Source organism: Homo sapiens, chromosome 2, assembly GCF_000001405.40.
Source record: "Homo sapiens chromosome 2, GRCh38.p14 Primary Assembly".
Classification (NCBI taxonomy): domain Eukaryota; kingdom Metazoa; phylum Chordata; class Mammalia; order Primates; family Hominidae; genus Homo; species Homo sapiens.
In genome coordinates this window covers 132,229,207-132,245,120 of record NC_000002.12, presented here as the reverse complement: position 1 = coordinate 132,245,120, position 15,914 = coordinate 132,229,207, and the positions used below count along the sequence as shown (strand labels likewise).

General features: G+C 38.2%; 1 protein-coding gene across 2 annotated transcripts in view, besides 1 other annotated feature; it reads left to right on the top strand.

Annotated features, from left to right (window-relative positions):
• The window catches only part of ANKRD30BL (ankyrin repeat domain 30B like), a 110,443-nt gene that overhangs the window by 12,913 nt on the left and 81,616 nt on the right, over positions 1 to 15,914 (top strand). The window lies entirely within an intron of this gene.
• Positions 2,962 to 3,869: an enhancer, noted in NCBI's record as "OCT4-NANOG-H3K27ac hESC enhancer chr2:132998825-132999732 (GRCh37/hg19 assembly coordinates)". NCBI's record gives its function as "activates a minimal SCP1, AML or CMV promoter by ChIP-STARR-seq in primed H9 embryonic stem cells {active_cell/tissue: H9 hESC(primed)}" and the evidence as "EXISTENCE:reporter gene assay evidence [ECO:0000049][PMID:30033119]".

Genomic DNA, 15,914 nt, shown 5'->3' with positions numbered 1-15,914 from the left:
TCTGTCTAGTTTTATGTGAAGATATTCCCGTTTCCCATGAAATCCTCAATGCTGCCCTAATATCCAGTTGTAAATTCTACAAGAACAGTGTTTAAAAACTGCTGTATCAAAAGAAAGTTTTAGCTCTGTGAGTTGAGTTCACACATCACAAAGAAGTTTCTGAGAATGCTTCTGTGTAGTTTTTATGGGAAGATATTTCCTTTTTCACCATAGGCCTCAAAGCGCTCCAAATGTCCACTTGCAGATACTACAAAAAGAGTTTTCCAAAACTGCTCTAGGAAAGGGAAAGTTCAACTCTGTGAGATGAATGCAAACATCACAAAGAAGTTTCTGAGAATGCTTCTGTCTAGTTTTTATGTGAAGGTATTCACGTCTGCAACAAAATCCTCAAAGCTATCCAAATATCCACTTGCGGATCCTACAAAAAGAGTGTTTAAAAACTTCTCTATCAAAAGAGAAGTTCAATTCTGTGATTTGAGTGCACACATCACAACGAAGTGTCTGAGAATTCTTCTGTCTAGTTATTATGGGAAGATATTTCCTTTTTCACCATAGGCCTCAAAGCACTCAAAGTTTCCATTTACAGATTCTACAAAAACTGTTTTTCAAAACTGCTCTATGAAAAGGAATGTTCAACTCTGTGAGTTGAATGCAAGCATCACAAAGAAGTTTCTGAGAATGCTTCTGTCTAGTTTTTATGTGAAGATATATCCGTTTCCAGTGAAGTCCTTAAAGCTGTCCAAATATCCACTTGGAAATTCGACAAAAAGAGTCTTTCCAATCTGCTCTATCAAAGGAAAATTTCAACTCTGTGAGTTGAATGCACACATCACAAAGAAGTTCCTGAGAATGCTTCTGTCTAGTTTTATGTGAAGATATTCCCTTTTCCAACGAAAACATCAATGCTGTCTAAATATCGACATGTAAATTCTACAAGAAGTGTGTTTCAAAAGTGCTCCAACAAAGGAAAGGTTTAAATCCGTGAGTTGAGTACACAAATCACAAATTAGTTTCTGAGAATGCTTCTGTCTACTTTTTAGGTGAAGATATTTCCTTTTTCACCATAGGTCTCAAATCGCACCAAATGTTGACTTGGAGATTCTACAAAAAGAGTTTCTCAAAACTGCTCTATCAAAAGAAAAGTTCAACTCTGTGAGTTGAGTATGCACATCACAAAGAAGTTTCTTAGAATTCTTGTGTCTAGCTTTTATGGGAAGATATCTCCTTTTTCATCATAGGCCTCAAAGCGCTCCAAGTTTCAACTTACAGATCCTACAAAAAGAGTGTTTCAAAACTGCTCAATGTAAAGGAATGTTCAACTCTGTGAGTTGAATGCAAGCATCACATAGAAGTTTCTGAGAATGCTTCTGTCTTGTTTTTATGTGAAGATCAACCCGTTTCCAGTAAAAACGTCAAAGCAGTCAAAATATCCACTTGCACATTCTACAAAAAGAGTGTTTCCAGTCTGCTTCATCAAAAGAATGTTTCAGCTCTGTGAGCTGAATGCACACATCACAAAGAAGTTTCTGAGAATGCTTCTGTCTAGTTGTATGAGACGATATTCCTGTTTCCAATGAAATCCTCAGTGCTGTGTTAATATCCACTTGTAAATTCCACTAGAAGAGTGTTTCAAAACTGCTGTATCAAAGGAAAGGTTTAACTCTGTCACTTGAGTACACACATCACAATGTAATTTGTAAGAATTCTTCTGTCTACTTTTTATGTGAAGATATTTACTTTTCAACCATAGGTCTCATATCACTCCAAATGTCCACTTGCAGATTCTACATGAAGAATTTTTCAAAACTGCTGTATCAAAGGAAAGGTTTAACTCTGTGAGTTGAGTACACACATCACAAAGAAATTTCTAAGAATTTTTCTGCCTATTTGTTATGTGAGGATAATTCCTTTTCCACCAAGGATCTCAAATCGTTCCAAATGTCCACTTACAGATACAACAAAAGAGTTTTTCCAATCTGCTTTATCAAAAGAAAGTTTCAAGACTGTGATTTGAATGCACACACCAGAAATAAGTTTCTGAGAATGCCTCTGTCTAGTTTTATGTGAAGATATTCCCGTTTCCAACGAAATCCTCAAAGCTGTCCTAATATCCACTTGTAAATACTACAAGAAGAGTGTTTCAAAACTGCTGTACCAAAGGAAAGATTTAACTCTGCGAGTTGAGTACACACATCACAAAGTAGTTTCTGAGAATGCTTCTGTCTACTTTTTTTGTGAAGATATTTCCTTTTTCACCACAGGTCTCAAATCGCACAAAATGGCCACTTGCAGATTCTACAAAAAGAGTGTTTCAAAAGTTGTGTATCAAAAGAAAGGTTCACGTCTGTGAGTTGAGTACACACATCAAAAAGAAGTTTCTCAGAATGCTTCTGTGTAGCTTTTATGTGAAGCTATTCCCGTTTCCAACAAAACCAGAAACCTATCCAAATATCCACTTGCAGATTCTACAAAAAGAGTGTTTCAAAACTGCTGTATCAAAAGAAAGCTTCAACTCGGTGAGTTGAGTACACACATCATGAAGATATTTCTGAGAATTCTTCTGTCTAGTTTTTAATGGAAAGATATTTCCTTTTTCACCATAGGCCACAAAGCGCTCCAAATGTCTAGTTCCAGATATTACAAAATCAGTGTTTCAACCCTGCTCTATGAAAGGGAATGTTCAACTCTGTGACTTGAATGCAAACATCATAGAGATGTTTCTGAGAATGCTTCTGTCTAGATTTTATTTGAAGATATTCCCGTTTCCAACGATATCCTCAAAGCTATCCAAATATCCACTTGCAGATTCTAAAAAAAGAGTGTTTGAAAACTTCTCCATGAAAGGGAATTTTCAAATCTGAGAGTTGAATGCAAACCTCACAAAGTAGTTTCTGAGAATGCTTCAGTCTGGTTTTTATCTGAAGGTATTCCCGTTTCCAACGAAATCCTCAATGCTGTCCTAACATCCACTTGTAAATTCTACAAGAAGAGTGGTTAAAAACTGCTGTATCTAAGAAAAATGTTTAACTCTGTGAATTGAGTACACACATCACAAAGTAGTTTCTGAGAATGCTTCTGTCTACTTTTTACGTGAAGATATTTCCTTTTTCACCATAGGTCTCAAATCACACCAAATGGCCACTTGCAGATTCTACAAAAAGTGTGTTTAAAAACTGTTCTATGAAAAGGAATGTTCAACTCTGTGAGTTGAATGCAATCATCACAAAGAAGTTTCTGAGAATGCTTTTGTCTAGTTTTTATGTGAAGATATTCCCGTTTCCAACGAAAGCCTCAAAGCTATCCAAATATCCACTTGCAGATTCTACAAAAAGAGTGTTTCAAAACTTGCGTATCAAAAGAAAAATTCAACTCTGTGAGTTGAGTACACACATCAGAAAGAAGTTTCTCAGAATGCTTCTGTGAAGTTTTTGTGTGAAGCTATTCCCGTTTCCAACAAAACCACAAAGCTATCAAAATATCCACTTGCAGATTCTACAAAAAGAGTGATTCAAAACTGCTGTATCAAAAGAAAGCTTCAACTGGGTGAGTTCAGTACACATACCACAAAGGTGTTTCTGAGAATGCTTCTAACTAGTTATTATGTGAAGATAATTCTTTTTACCACAGGCCTCAAAGTGCTCCAAATGTCCACTTCCAGATAATACAAAAAGAGTGCTTCAAAACTGCTCTATGAAAGGGAAGGTTCAACTCTGTGAGTTGAATAGAAACATCACAAAGAAGTTTCTGATAATGCTTCTTTCTAGTTTTTATGTGAAGATATACCCGTTTCCAACAAAATCCTCAAAGCTACCCAAATATCCACTTGCAGATTGTACAAAAAGAGTGTCTCAAAACTGCTCTATCAAAAGAAAAGTTCAAATCTGTGAGTTGAGTACACACATCACAAAGAAGTTTCTGAGAATTCTTCTGTCTAGTTTTTATGGGAAGATATTTCTTTTTTCACCATAGACTTCTAAGTTCACCAAGTTTCCACTTGCAGATATACAAAAAGAGTGTTACAAAACTGCTCTATGAAAAGGAATGTTCAGCTCCGTGAGTTGAATGAAAGCATCACAAAGAAGTTTCTGAGAATGCTTCTGTCTAGTTTTTATGTGAAGATATTCCCATTTCCAAAGAAAGCCTCAAAGCTATCCAAATATCCACTTGCAGATTCTACAAAAAGAGTGTTTCAAAAGTGCTGTATCAAAAGAAAGGTTCAATTCTGACAGTTGAGTAAACACATCATAAAGAAGTTTCTGAGAATGCTTCTGTCTAATTTTTATGAGAAGGTGTTTCTTTTTTCATGATAGGCCTCAAAGCGCTCCAAATGTCCACTTCCAGAAACTACAAAAAGAGGGTTTCAAATCTGCTAACTGAAAGGTAATGTTCAACTCTGTGAGATTAATGCAAACATCACAAAGAAGTTTCTGAGAATGCTTCTGTCTAGTTTTTATGTGAAGATAATCCAGTTTCCAATGAAATTCTCAAAGGTATCCCTATATCCACTTGCCGATTTTGACAAAAAGAATGTTTCAACTCTGCTCTATCAAAAGAAAAGTTCAATTCTGTGAGTTGAGTACACCCATCAAAAGGAAGTTTCTGAGAATTCTTCTGTCTAGTTTTTATGGGAAGATATTTCCTGTTTCACCATGGGCCTCAAAGCGTTCCAACTTTCCCCTTATAGATTCTACAAAAAGAGTGTTTCAAAACTGCTCTATGAAAAGTAACGTTCCACTTTGTGAGTTGAATGCAAACATCACAAGAAGTTTCTGGGAATGCTTCTGTCTAGTTTTATGCGAAGATATTCCCCTTTTCAACGAAATCCTCAATGCTGTCCAAATATCCTCTTGTAAATTCTACAAGAAGAGTGTTTCAAATCTGCTCTATATAAGGAAAGGTGTAACTCTGTGATTTGAGTACACACATCAAAAAGTAGTTTCTGAGAATGCTTCTATCTAGTTTTTATGTGAAGATATTACCTTTTTCACCATAGGTCTCATATCGCACAAAATGTCCACTTGTAGATTCTACTAAAAGAGTGTTTCATAACTGCTCTATGAAAAGGAATGTTCAACTCTGTGAGTTGAATGCAAACATCACAAGAAGTTTCTGAGAATGCTTCTGTCTAGTTTTATGTGAAGATATTCCCGTTTCCAACGAAATCCTCAAAGCTATCCAAATGTCCACTTGCAGATTCTACAAAAAGAGTGTTTCAAAATTGCTATATCAAAAGAAAGGTTCAACTCTGTGAGTTGAGTACACATATCACAAAGAAGTTTCTGAGAATGCTTCTGTATAGTTTTTATGTGAAGATATTTCCTTTTTCACCCTAGGCCTCAAAGCGCTCCAAATGTCCACTTAGTGAAACTACAAAAAGAGTGTTTCAAAACTGCTCACTGAAAGGGAATGTTCAACTCTGTGAGAAGAATGCAAACATCACAAAGATGTTTCTGAGAATCCTTCTGTCTAGTTTTTATGTGAAGATAATCCCGTTTCTAACGAAATTCTCAAAGCTATCCACATATCCACTTGCAGATTTTAACAAAAAGGGTGTATCAAAACTGCTCTATCAAAAGAATAGCTCAACTCTGTGAGTTGAGTACACACATCACAGAGAAGTTTCTGAGAATTCTTCTGTGTACTTTTCATGGGAAGATATTTCCTTTTCTACCTAGACCTCAAAGCGATTCAAGATTCCACTTACAGATCCTACAAAAAGAGTGTTTCAAAACTGCTCTATGAAAAGGAATGTTGAACCCTGTGAGTTGAATTCAAGCATCACAAAGAAGTTTCTGAGTATGCTTCAGTCTAGTTTTTTGTGAAGATATTCCCGTTTCCAACGAAATCCTCAAAGCTATCCAAATATCCACTTGCAAATTCTACAAAGAGTGTTTCAAAATTGCTGTATCAAAAGAAAAGTTCAACCCTATGAGTTGAGTACACACATCACAAAGTAGTTTCTGAGAATGCTTCTCTCTAGTTTTTATGTGACTATATTTCCTTTTTTACCACAGGCGCTAAAGCGCTCCAAATGTCCACTTCCAGATACTACAAAAGGAGTGTTTCAAAACTGCTCTATGAAAATCCATGTTCAACAGTGTGAGTTGAATGCAAGTCTCACAAAGAAGTTTCTGAGAATGCTTCTGTGTAGTGTTTATGTGAAGATATTTCCTTTTTCACCTTAGGCCTCAAGGCACTCCAAATGTCCACTTCCAGAATCTACAAAAAGAGTGTTTCAAAAATGCTCAATGAAGGGGAATGTTCAACTGCGAGATGAATGCAAACATCACAAAGAAATTTCTGAGAATGCTTCTGTCTAGTTTTTATATGAAAATATTCCCGTTTCCAATGAAATCTTCAAAGCTATCCACATATCCACTTGCAGATTTTTAAAAAATGAGTGTTTCAAAACTGCTCTATCAAAAGAAAGGTTCAAATCTGTGAGTTGAGTACACACATCAGAAAGATGTTTCTGAGAATGCTTCTGTCTAGTTTTTATGGGAAGAGATTTCCTTTTTCACCATAGGCTTCAAAGAGCACCAAGTTTCCACTTACAGATTCTACAAAAAGAGTGTTTCATAACAGCTCCATGAAAACGAATGTTCAAGTCTGTCAGTTGAACGTAAGCATCACAAAGAAGTTTCTGAGAATGCTTCTGTCTTGTTTTTATGTGAATATATACCCGTTCCCAGAGAAGGCATCAAAGCTGTCCAAATATCCACTTGCAAATTCTACGATCAAAAGAAAATTTCAACTCTGTGAGTTGAATGCACACGTCACAAAGAAGTTTCTGAGAATCCTTCTGTCAATTTTATGTGAAGACATTCCTGTTTCCAAAGAAATCCAAATGCTGTCCTAATATCCACTTGTAAATTCTATAAGAAGAGTCTTTCATAACTGCTGTATCAAACGATAGGTTTAACTCTGTGAGTTGAGTACGCACATCGCAAAGAAGTTTCTGAGAATTCTTCTGTCTTCTTTTTATGTGAAGATATTTCCTTTTTCAACATAGGTCTCAAATCGCACTAAATGTCCACTTGCAGATTCTACAAAAAAAGTGTTTCAAAACTGTTCTATGAAACGGAATGTTCGAATCTGTGATTTGAATGCAAGCAGCACAAAGAGGTTTCTGAGAATGCTTCTGTCTGGTTTTTATGTGAAGATATTTCCTTTTCCAAACAAAGCCTTAAAGCTATCCAAATATCTTCTTGCAGACTCTGCAAAAAGAGTGTTTCAAAAATTCTCTATCAAAAGAAAAGTTCAACTCTGTGAGTTAAGTACACACATCATGAGGAAGTTTCTGAGAATTCTTCTGTCTAGTTTTTATGGAAAGATATTTCCTGTTTCACCATAGGCTTTCAAAGCGCTCCAAGTTTCCACTTACAGATTCTACAAAAAGAGTGTTTCAAAACTGCTCTATGAAAAGGAATGTTCAACTCTGTGAGTTGATTGCAAGCATCACAAAGCAGTTTCTGAGAATGCTCCTGTCTAGTTTTTATGTGAAGACATACCCGTTTCCAGCGAAGGCCTCAAAGCTGTCCGAATATCCACTTGCAAATTCTACAAAAAGAGTGTTTCCAATCTGCTCTATCAAAAGAAAATTTCAACTCTGTGAGCTGAATGCACACATCACAAATAAGTTTCTGAGAATGCTTCTGTCTAGTTTTATGTGAAGATATTCCCGTTTCCAACGAAATCCTCAATGCTGCCCTAATATCCACTTGTAAATTCAACAAGAAGAGTGTTTCAAAACTGCTGTATCAAAGGAAAGTTTTAACTGTGAGTTGAGTACACCCATCACAAAGTAGTTTGTGAGAATGCTTCTGTCTACTTTTTATTATTATTATTATTCTTTAAGTTTTAGGGTTCATGTGCACATTGTGCAGGTTAGTTACATATGTATACTTGCGCCATGCTGGTTGGCTGCACCCACTAACTCGTCTTCTAGCATTAGGTATATCTCCCAATGGTATCCCTCACCCCTCCCCCCACCTCACAACATTCCCCAGAGTATGATGTTCCCCTTCCTGTGTCCATGTGATCTCATTGCTCAATTCCCACCTATGAGTGAGAATATGCAGTGTTTGGTTTTTTGTTCTTGCGATAGTTTACTGAGAATGATGATTTCCAATTTCATCCATGTCCCTACAAAGGACATGAACTCATCATTTTTTATGGCTGCATAGTATTCCATGGTGTATATGTGCCACATTTTCTTAATCCAGTCTATCATTGTTGGACATTTGGGTTGGTTCCAAGTCTTTGCTATTGTGAATAGTGCCACAATAAACATACGTGTGCATGTGTCTTTATAGCAGCATGATTTATAGTCCTTTGGGTATATACCCAGTAATGGGATGGCTGGGTCAAATGGTATTTCTAGTCCTAGATCCCTGAGGGATCACCACACTGACTTCCCTAATGGTTGAACTAGTTTACAGTCCCACCAACAGTGTAAAAGGGTTCCTATTTCTCCACATCGTCTCCAGCATGTGTTGTTTCCTCTCTTTTTAATGATTGCCATTCTAACTGGTGTGAGATGGTATCTCATTGTGGTTTTGATTTGCATTTCTCTGATGGCCAGTGATGATGAGCATTTTTTCATGTGTTTTTTGGCTGCATAAATGTCTTCTTTTGAGAAGTATGTGTTCATGTCCTTTGCCCACTTTTTGATGGGGTTGTTTGTTTTTTTCTTGTAAATTTGTTTGAGTTCATTGTAGATTCTGGATATTAGCCCTTTGTCAGATGAGTAGGTTGCAAAAATGTTCTCCCATTAGATCCCATTTGTCAATTTTGTCTTTTGTTGCCATTGTTTTTGGTGTTTTAGACATGAAGTCCTTGCCCATGCCTATGTCCTGAATGGTAATGCCTATGTTTTCTTCTAGGGTTTTTATGGTTTTAGGTTGAACGTTTAAGTCTTTAATCCATCTTGAATTGATTTTTGTGTAAGGTGTAAGGAAGGGATCCAGTTTCAGCTTTCTACATATGGCTAGCCAGTTTTCCCAGCACCATTTATTAAATAGGGAATCCTTTCCCCATTGCTTGTTTTTCTCAGGTTTGTCAAAGATCAGATAGTTGTGGATATGTGGCATTATTTCTGAGGGCTCTGTTCTGTTCCATTGATCTATATCTCTGTTTTGGTACCAGTACCATGCTGTTTTGGTTACTGTAGCTTTGCAGTATAGTTTGAAGTCAGGTAGTGTGATGCCTCCAGCTTTGTTCTTTTGGCTTAGGATTGACTTGGTGATGCGGGCTCTTTTTTGGTTCCATATGAACTTTAAAGTAGATTTTTCCAATTGTGTGAAGAAAGGCATTGGTAGCTTGATGGGGAAGGCATTGAATCTGTAAATTACCTTGGGCAGTATGGCCATTTTCATGATATTGATTCTTCCTACCCATGAGCATGGAATGTTCTTCCATTCGTTTGTATCCTCTTTTATTTCCTTGGGCAGTGGTTTGTAGTTCTCCTTGAAGAGTTCCTTCACATCCCTTGTAAGTTGGATTCCTAGGTATTTTATTCTCTTTGAAGCAATTGTGAATGGGAATTCACTCATGATTTGGCTCTCTGTTTGTCTGTTGTTGGTGTATAAGAATGCTTGTGATTTTTGTACATTGATTTTGTATCCTGAGACTTTGCTGAAATTGCTTATCAGCTGAAGGAGATTTTGGGCTGAGACAATGGGGTTTTCTAGATATACAATCATGTCATCTGCAAACAGGGACAATTTGACTTCCTCTTTTCATAATTGAATACTCTTTATTTCCTTCTCCTGCCTAGTTGCCCTGGTCAGAACTTCCAACCCTATGTTGAATAGGAGTGGTGAGAGAGGGCATCCCTGTCTTGTGCCAGTTTTCAAAGGAAATGCTTCCAGTTTTTGCCCATTCAGTATGATATTGGCTGTGGGTTTGTCATAGATAGCTCTTATTATTTTGAAATATGTCCCATCAATACCTAATTTATTGAGAGATTTTAGCATGAAGTGTTGTTGAATTTTGTCAAAGGCTTTTTCTGCATCTATTGAGATAATCATGTGGTTTTTTGTCTTTGGCTCTGTTTATATGCTGGATTACATTTATTGATTTGCGTATATTGAACCAGCCTTGCATCCCAGGGATGAAGCCCACTTGATCATGGTGGATAAGCTTTTTGATGTTCTGCTGGATTCGTTTTGCCAGTATTTTATTGAGGATTTTTGCATCAATGTTCATTAAGGATATTGGTCTAAAATTCTCTTTTTTGGTTGTGTCTCTGCCTGGCTTTGGTATCAGAATGATGCTGGCCTCATAAAATGAGTTAGGGAGGATTCCCTCTTTTTCAATTGATTGGAATAGTTTCAGAAGGAATGGTACCAGTTCCTCCTTGTACCTCTGGTAGAATTCGGCTGTGAATCCATCTGGTCCTGGACTCTTTTTGTTGGTAAGCTATTGATTATTGCCACAATTTCAGAGCCTGTTATTGGTCTATTCCGAGATTCAACTCCTTCCTGTTTTAGTCTTGGGAGAGTGTATGTGTCAAGGGATTTATCCATTTCTTCTGGATTTTCTAGTTTATTTGCATAGAGGTGTTTGTAGTATTCTCTGATGGTAGTTTGTATTTCTGTGAGATCGGTGGTGATATCCCCTTTATCATTTTTTATTGTGTCTATTTGATTCTTCTCTCTTTTTTTCTTTATTAGTCTTGCTAGCTGTCTATCAATTTTGTTGATCCTTTCAAAAAACCAGCTCCTGGATTCATTAATTTTTTGAAGGGTTTTTTGTGTCTCTATTTCCTTCAGTTCTGCTCTGATTTTAGTTATTTCTTGCCTTCTGCTAGCTTTTGAATGTGTTTGCTCTTGCTTTTCTAGTTATTTTAATTGTGATGTTAGGGTGTCAATTTTTTATCTTTTCTTCTTTCTCTTGTGGGCATTTAGTGCTATAAATTTCCCTCTACACCCTGCTTTGAATGTGTCCCAGAGATTCTGGTATGTTGTGTCTTTGTTCATGTTGGTTTCAAAGAACATCTTTATTTCTGCCTTCATAGCGTTAAATATCCAGTAGTCATTCAGGAGCAGGTTGTTCAGTTTCCATGTAGTTGAGTGGTTTTGAGTGAGATTCTTAATCCTGAGTTCTAGTTTGATTGCACTGTGGTCTGAGAGATAGTTGGTTATAATTTCTGTTCTTTTACATTTGCTGAGGAGAGCTTTACTTCCAACTGTGTGGTCAATTTTGGAATAGGTGTGGTGTGGTGTTGAAAAAAATGTATATTCTGTTGATTTGGGGTGGAGAGTTCTGTAGATGTCTATTAGGTCCACTTGGTGCAGAGCTGAGTTCAATTCCTGGGTATCCTTGTTGACTTTCTGTCTCGTTGATCTGTCTAATGTTGACAGTGGGGTGTTAAAGTCTCCCATTATTAATGTGTGGGAGTCTAAGTCTCTTTGTAGGTCACTCAGGACTTGCTTTATGAATCTGGGTGCTCCTGTATTGGGTGCATATAGATTTAGGATAGTTAGCTCTTCTTGTTGAATTGATCCCTTTACCATTATGTAATGGCCTTCTTTGTCTCTTTGGATCTTTGTTGGTTTAAAGTCTGTTTTATCAGAGACTAGGATTGCAACCCCTGCCTTTTTTTGTTTTCCATTTGCTTGGTAGATCTTCCTCCATCCTTTTATTTTGAGCCTATGTGTGTCTCTGCACATGAGATGGGTTTCCTGAATACAGCACACTGATGGGTCTTGACTCTTTATCCAATTTGCCAGTCTGTGTCTTTTAATTGGAGCATTTAGTCCATTTACATTTAAAGTTAATATTGTTATGTGTGAATTTGATCCTGTCATTATGATGTTAGCTGGTTATTTTGCTCATTAGTTGATGCAGTTTCTTCCTAGTCTCGATGGTCTTTACATTTTGGCATGATTTTGCAGTGGCTGGTACTGGTTGTTCCTTTCCATGTTTAGTGCTTCCTTCAGGAGCTCTTTTAGGGCAGGCCTGGTGGTGACAAAATCTCTCAGCATTTGCTTGTCTGTAAAGTATTTTATTTCTCCTTCACTTATGAAGCTTTGTTTGGCTGGATATGAAATTCTGGGTTGAAAATTCTTTTCTTTAAGAATGTTGAATATCGGCCCCCACTCTCTTCTGGCTTGTAGGGTTTCTGCCAAGAGATCCGCTGTTAGTCTGGTGGGCTTCCTTTTGAGGGTAACCCGACCTTTCTCTCTGGCTGCCCTTAACATTTTTTCCTTCATTTCAACTTTGATGAATCTGACAATTATGTGTCTTGGAGTTGCTCTTCTCGAGGAGTATCTTTGTGGCATTCTCTGTATTTCCTGAATCTGAATGTTGGCCTGCCTTGCTAGATTGGGGAAGTTCTCCTGGGTAATATCCTGCAGAGTGTTTTCCAACTTGGGTCCCTTCTCCCCATCACTTTCAGGTACACCAATCAGAAGTAGATTTGGTCTTTTCACATAGTCCCATATTTCTTGGAGGCTTTGCTCATTTCTTTTTATTCTTTTTTCTCTAAACTTCCCTTCTCGCTTCATTTCATTCATTTCATCTTCCATTGCTGATACCCTTTTTTCCAGTTGATTGCATCAGCTCCTGAGGCTTCTGCATTCTTCACGTAGTTCTCGAGCCTTGGTTTTCAGCTCCATCAGCTCCTTTAAGCACTTCTCTCTATTGGTTATTCTAGTTATACGTGCTTCTAAATTTTTTTCAAAGTTTTCAACTTCTTTGCCTTTGGCTTGAATGTCCTCCCATAGCTCAGAGTAATTTGATCGTCTGAAGCCTTCTTCTCTCAGCTCGTCAAAGTCATTCTCCATCCAGCTTTGTTCCGTTGCTGGTGAGGAACTGCGTTCCTTTGGAGGAGGAGACGTGTTCTGCATTTTAGAGTTTCCAGTTTTTCTGTTCTGTTTTTTCCCCATCTTTGTGATTTTGTCTACTGTTGGTCTTTGATGATGGTGATGTACAGATGGGTTTTTGTTGTGGATGTCCTTTCTGTTTGTTAGTTTTCCTTCTAACAGACAGGACCCTTAGCTGCAGGTCTGTTGGAATACCCTGCCGTGTGAGGTGTCAGTGTGCCCCTGCTGGGGAGTGCCTCCCAGTTAGGCTGCTCGGGGGTCAGGGGTCAGGGACCCACTTGATGAGGCAGTCTGCCAGTTCTCAGATCTCCAGCTGCATGCTGGGAGAACCACTGCTCTCTTCAAAGCTGTCAGACAGGGACATTTAAGTCTGCAGAGGTTACTGCTTTTTGTTTGTCTGTGCCCTTCCCCCAGAGGTGGAGCCTACAGAGGCAGGCAGGCCTCCTTGAGCTGTGGTGGGCTCCACCCAGTTCGAGCTTCCTGGCTGCTTTGTTTACCTAAGCAAGCCTGGGTAATGGCGGGTGCCCCTCCCCCAGCCTCGCTGCCACCTTGCAGTTTGATCTCAGACTGCTGTGCTAGCAATCAGCGAGACTCCGTGGGTGTAGGACCCTCCGAGCCAGGTGCGGGATATAATCTCGTGGTGTGCCGTTTTTTAAGCCGGTCCGAAAAGCGCTATATTCGGGTGGGAGTGACCCGATTTTCCAGGTGCATCTGTCACCCCTTTCTTTGACTCGGAAAGGGAACTCCCTGACCCCTTGTGCTTCCCAAGTGAGGCAATGCATCGCCCTGCTTCAGCTCGTGCACGGTGCGTGCACCCACTGACCTGCGCCCACTGTCTAGCACTCCCTAGTGAGATGAACCTGGCACCTCAGATGGAAAGGCAGAAATCACCTGTCTTCTGCGTCGCTCACGCTGGGAGCTGTAGACCAGAGCTGTTCCTATTCGGCCATCTTGGCTCCTCCCCCTTCGACATTCCCGTTTTCAATGAAGGCCTCAAAGCGGTCCAAATATCCATTTGCATTTCTTCAAAAAGACAGGTTCAAAACTGCTCTATCAAAGAAAGTTCAACTCTGTGAGTTGAATACAACCATCACAAAGAAGTTTCTGAGAATGCTTCTATGTAGTTTTTATGTGAAGATATTTCCTTTTCCACCATAGGCCTCAAATCTCTCCAAATGTTCACTTGCAGACTCCACAAAAAGTGTTTCAAACCTGCTCTTTCAAAATAAAGGTTCAACTCCCTTACTTGAATGCCACAGCACAAAAAAGTTTCTGAGAAATCTTCTGTCTAGTGATTATGTGAAGATATTCCCGTTTCCAATGAAGGCTGCAAAGCATTCCATCTATCCACTTGCAGATTTTACAAAAAGAGTGTTTCAAAACTGCTCTATCAAAAGAAATGTTCAACTCTCTGAGGTGAATGCACACATCACGAAGAAGTTTCTGAGAATGCTTCTGTGTAGTTTTTGTGTGAAGATATTTCCTTTTCCACCATAGGCCTCAAAGTGCTCCAAATGTCCACGTGCAGATTCTAAAAAAAGAGTGTTTCAAATCTGCTCTATCAAAAGCAAGGTTCAAATCTGTGAGTTTAATGCACAAATCACAAAGAAGTTTGTGAGAATGCTTCTGTCTAGTTTTTATGTGAAGTTATTCCCGTTTCCAATGAAGGCCTCAATGCGGTCCAAATATCCACTTGCAGATTGTCCAAAAACAGTGCTTCAAAACTGCTCCATGAAAAGCTATGTTCAACTCTGTGAGCTGAATGCAAACATCATAAATAAGTTTCTGAGAATGCTTCTGTCTAGTATTTATGGGAAGATATTTCCTTTTCAACCATAGCCCTCAAAGCGCTCCATTTGTCCACTTGCATATAATACAAAAAGAGTGTTTCAAAACTGCTCTATCAAAGGAAAGTTCAACTCTGTGAGTTGAATGTACACATCACAAATACACTTCTGAGAATGCTTCTATCTACTTTTTATGTGAAGATATTCCCGTTTCCAATGAAGGCCTCAAAGCGGTCCATAAATTCACTTGCAGATTCTACTAAAAGACTGCTTCAAAACTGCTCTATGAAAACGTATATTCAACTCTGTGAGTTGAAGACAAACATCACAAAGAAGTTTCTGAGAATGCTTCTGTCTATTTTTTATGGGAAGATATTTCCTTTTCCACCACAGGCCTCAAAGTGCTTTAAATGTCCACGTGCAGATTCTACAAAAAGCGTGTTTGAAACGTGCTCTATCAAAAGAAAGTTTCAACGCTGTGAGTTGAATGCACACATCAGAAAAATTTTCTGAGAATTCTTCTGTCTAGTTTTTATGTGAAGATATTCACGTTTATAAAGAAGGCCTCCAAGCGTTCCAAATATCCACTTGCAGATACTGCGAACAGAGTGTTTCAAAACTGCTCTATGGAAAGGAAGTTTCAACTCTGTGAGTTGAATGCACAAATCACAAAGAAATTTCTGAGAATGCTTCTGTCTAGTTTTTATGTGAAGATATTTCCTTTCCCACCATAGTCCTCAAATTTCTCCAAATGTCCACTTGCAGTTTCTACCAAATGAGTTTTTCAAACCCGCTCTATCAAAAGAAAGGTTCAACTCTGTGAGTTGAATGCACACATCACTAAGAAGTTTCTGAGAATGCTTCTGTCTAGTGTTTATGTGAAGATATTCCCGTTTCCAACGAAGGCCTCACAGAGTTCCAAATAACAACTTGCACATTCTACAAAAAGAGAGTTTCTAAATTGTGCTATGAAGAGGTATGTTCAACTCTATGAGTTGAATGCAAACATCACAAAGAAGTTTCTGAGAAAGCTACAGTCTAGTCTTTATGTGATGATATTACCTTTTCCATGATAGGAATCAAAGTGCTCCAAATGTCCACTTGCAGATTCTACAAAAAGAGTGTTTCCAAACTGCTCAATCAAAGAAATGTTCAACTTTCTAGATGAATGCACACATTATAAAGAAGTTTCTCAGAATTCTTCTTTCTAGTTTTTATGTGAAGATATTTCCTTTTGTACGGTAGACCCGAAGGCACTCGAAAGGTCCACTTGCAGATTCTACAAAAAGAGTATTTC